The sequence below is a fragment of the Homo sapiens genome, chromosome 13 (assembly GCF_000001405.40).
Source record: "Homo sapiens chromosome 13, GRCh38.p14 Primary Assembly".
In the NCBI taxonomy this organism is placed as follows: Eukaryota; Metazoa; Chordata; class Mammalia; order Primates; family Hominidae; genus Homo; species Homo sapiens.
Genome location: NC_000013.11, coordinates 48,842,630 through 48,846,705, shown reverse-complemented (window position 1 = coordinate 48,846,705; position 4,076 = coordinate 48,842,630).

The window sequence follows — 4,076 nt, the reverse complement described above, 5'->3', positions numbered from 1 at the left end:
ACTCTGTTGTTTATGTTATACTTATTTTCCACAAGACTACACTTCCATAAAACCTTGAAATTTTTCAAGAAAAAAATGTTAGTTATAACCCTAATTTTACAATCCTCTAATAGATTGGGATCTGCAGTTGGACAAACCCTAATTTAGTGGCCCTTCTCCCCTACATACCGTTCTCCTGGCTTTGCTATGGCACTTGAAATTCTCACCTTATTCGTATAAAGTGAGGCGTTGGTGGCTCCTGTTAAAGTACAGACCAGGACAACACTCAGACCGTACCAGCAGCTAGCATATTAATGGGATACATGATGCCGATTTTCTCTCCAGTCAGCACCGGGAAATCTGTGCAGATGAGTCCTAGATATGTGAGTGGGTCCCCTGGGCAGCGAGGGGTCCTCGTGAAGCTATATCTAGGTCACAGGTGGTCCTCCATTGACTAATTTATGTACTTAAGTACATCCCTGCTGGCACTGGAAAGGATTTAAGATAGCTTACAAAGGAGTATGTAGTACAACAAGGTCAAACAGGTAAAAAAATAAATAAATAAAATAAGGCAAAGGGAAAACGGTAGAAGCACAGGATGGAGCCAGGAGCATGGTGAATACACAAATCACATTTCTTGAAATTTTATGTGCATGTTAGAGATGAGCTGAGTTAAAAATTTCAAGGAGATTTATGAAGAGGAAGGGTAAAATTATTCCCATCATAAAGAAGATAAAATACAAATCCACTGCTTAGACAAGTCCAAATTCTTCTGCTACTGAGACCAGAGTGGGATTTCTCCAGTAGGTCTTCTAAGAGAGAAGGCCAGGTAATGCAAAAAATAATGTCTTTGTGACAGCTTTGGACTAAATGAAGTGACAAGCTTCAAAGGACATTTCTGTAACACTCTTCATTAATCAAGGTCCCATCGAAGTGTGTGATTTGGTAGAAATCCTTCTGCAGGTACTCACAATGATGCATCTCAGGTGCGAAGTCACTAGTGATTGGGTTTCATCTAGGGATAAGTTATAAATTATCTCCGTGTTCTCAAGTGCCAGTCTGGTAGTCAGAGATAAAATTTTCATGGGTTCATGGTAAAAAGAAAAAAAACAATCAGTGAGTAGTGAATTTTCCATAACATTAAATTTCCATAAAACGTCAATTTAAAAGACTCTCTTTTTGTTACAGCCTTATTGGTAAAAGAAGTTAGCAGCCTATATCAGTAACCATCATTAAAAAAATACTTTTTAAAAACTGGCCTGTGAAATATAAAAATTTGGAAAATCACTGACCTAGGAGAATGGAAACACACACAAAATCTTCCATGAATATTATTTTTCTCAGCAGGACTTTTGATATCTTTAGAACCTGCAGCAATATGCTAGAGATTATACTCTTTGAACAAATATCTGAAGTGCAGCTCTTTTGTGTTACAGATTTAATACAAAACCATCTATTTTTAAAAATCAGTGAGTCTTGGGTAGAATTGCTATATTGTTATAAAAATTTAGCAACAAGACAAGGACAATATGGACATAGAAGTCACCCCACGGTCCCTCTGAGTTGAGCCAAGGGAAGATAGGACCGTCCTCAGGAACGGTTTTGTATGTCCACTAACTCACAGACAAATGGATGAGAGATTCCCAAGTTTTACACTATTAAGCACTGCCACAATAATTCTTACCTGGAAGCATTTTAAACAGCTATAATTAAGTGTTCATGTTGAACATTAAACAACAACAATAGTCAAAAACTCCAAACAAAAACAATACAGTAATAATGCCTACAGAATGCTTAACACTGAGTAATTGAACTGTCTTGGATTTCTTGAAAGATTAACAACTACATCTCGGGAATAGATGACATCATCTGGTGGACAGGATTAGAAGCCATGTATCAATAGTTAACATTTATTGGACACTGTTCTAAGCATTTTACATGTAAACACATTTGTTCTTCACAACAACCTTACGAGGTAAGAACTATTATTATTATTAACCCATTTTACAAATGAAAAACTGAGGCCAGGAATTGTTAAATAAATGTTACCCAACTGCTAAGAGTTGGAAACAAACCTCATGTCATGGCAGAGCCACCCCAGAGACCATACTCATGACAAGAAGCTCCACTGATTCCTTACCTGGGTATAAACCTGGACAAAGTTGGAAGGTGGCTGCCAGAAATGGTGCCCTTGGTCATAGAATAGTTAATTTTTGACCACTCTTTCCTAAGCAGATCACAAAGACCATTTTCTTGGAAGGCCACTTTCAACCTGTAAGAATAAAATCATACCATCTTCAGATAAGAAAGTGCTTATTGTTCTGTTTTCCAGAGTCCTTGGCCTCTAACTCATCTAGAAGTGGCATCAAATTGTTTCAATATGAGTAAAAACAAGGGGAATGGGATGTGGAGTGTGACTGGTGCTCAGAACACATTGTCATTCTATATACAAAATTTTATTGGGTTGGTCTGGAGGTCAGTCCTGGATCCCTGGCTCATAGAAGGCAGTGTGCAGCGGTATCTATGGTGTCTTGGTCCATATCAGCCTCTATTCCACTGAGTCAGAGACCTAGAAAGAGAAAACAAGCTGCAAACTGTCTTTTATTATGCCTACCAGATTTCTTCTAGGTCAATAGGAGCATGAGAATGGTCAACTGTGTTAGCTGTGCCAAAAGCCAGCCTTCTGGGCTGGGGGTAGCAGCAGCAGTTGACTCATCATTAATCTCCTCCCCAGAGCTTAGGCCTCTTGGTTGGGCTTTCAGCTTAGAAGCCCTTCAATCTCTCACTCAACCCCCAACTATAATTTGTGTCACTTTCATGGTTAAATTGTCACCATGGTGACACCCCATGGCCTTTTGGGTCTCTGGTTTGTAGTAATATGGGTTTTCTCCAGCAGCGAATCAATAGAAGTTCAAAGTATTTACAAGTTAGGAAATCACAGGTGTCCAGAGCTGATAAGGGTCCAGCTTCGGAGACTATTCTCACCAATTTCCCTGAGCCCACATATTGCACTTCTATCCCCAACCTTCAGGGTAGAGTTTAATCTCTTGGTTTTAGGCTGCTCAGAAAAAAACTCTGTACTTTTCTACTTTCAGATACTTCTTTCTCAGCTCAAACTCTTCTCTGATTGTCTAGCCTTTCCTTCTTTCTAACCTGCAGTCTGCAGTCTTTGTTCTTTTTGTACTGCAAATCTTTTGAAGTCTCTTAATTTCTCCTGGGGAAAACAACCTTGTTTATATACAATTACCTGTCCTGTCATTGACATTTCTACATGCAATGGATTATCCACAAGAGGCCAGTGCAAATAGTGAAGGCATCTCACCACAGAGGGGCAGACAGAGCTACAGGGGCACAGAGGACAAAATTGTCAGTCATCATTTTTCGTACTCCAAAAAATGTTACTCTTTACTTGGCAGAGGAACATTAAATATTCATGCATAGACTCATTCAACAAATGGTTATTGGCAAAGCACTGTGCTAAAGCAAGTTATAGAGTTACTTGGGTCCTGCCTTTAAGTACTTTTTGAACTAGTAGGAAAGCTATGGCATGCATGATACAATAGAAATGATTGTATTATAGGTACAAGAGTGACACAGCTATAAGAGATGTACAAATAAAGTGCTGTGGGAGTTCAGATTGTTTTGCTACTGAGAAATCAGACATGAATCAAAATAAAATAAGCAGAAATAAGAATTTTAGAGTAGGAGTGAATTTAAAGGTCAACTAGTCCATCTGATTCACTTTACAGATGAAACAAACAGACCCAAATAAGTTTTAAAAAATAAACAAGAAGTTATGTAGTTTGATTGTGACAAAATTGGGTCTAAAACACAGGTCTCTGGATTTCTAGCCTGAAGCTATTTTCTCTATAAGAGTAATTTTCCCCAATAATCCAAGAACATGGGGACCACTTATTGAAAATACGTTAGCAATGGCCAGCAAAGCTGTTTTTAAAAAACTAGATTCGTCATTTTAATTGAAGACATAGAGAAAACAGGAAAGGATTCTTTGGTTATATTTGGCATTGATTCATTTCTTACTGGAAGAACTACATCCAAAGGAGAGCTATGAAAATAAAGGACTAAGAAATGAGACC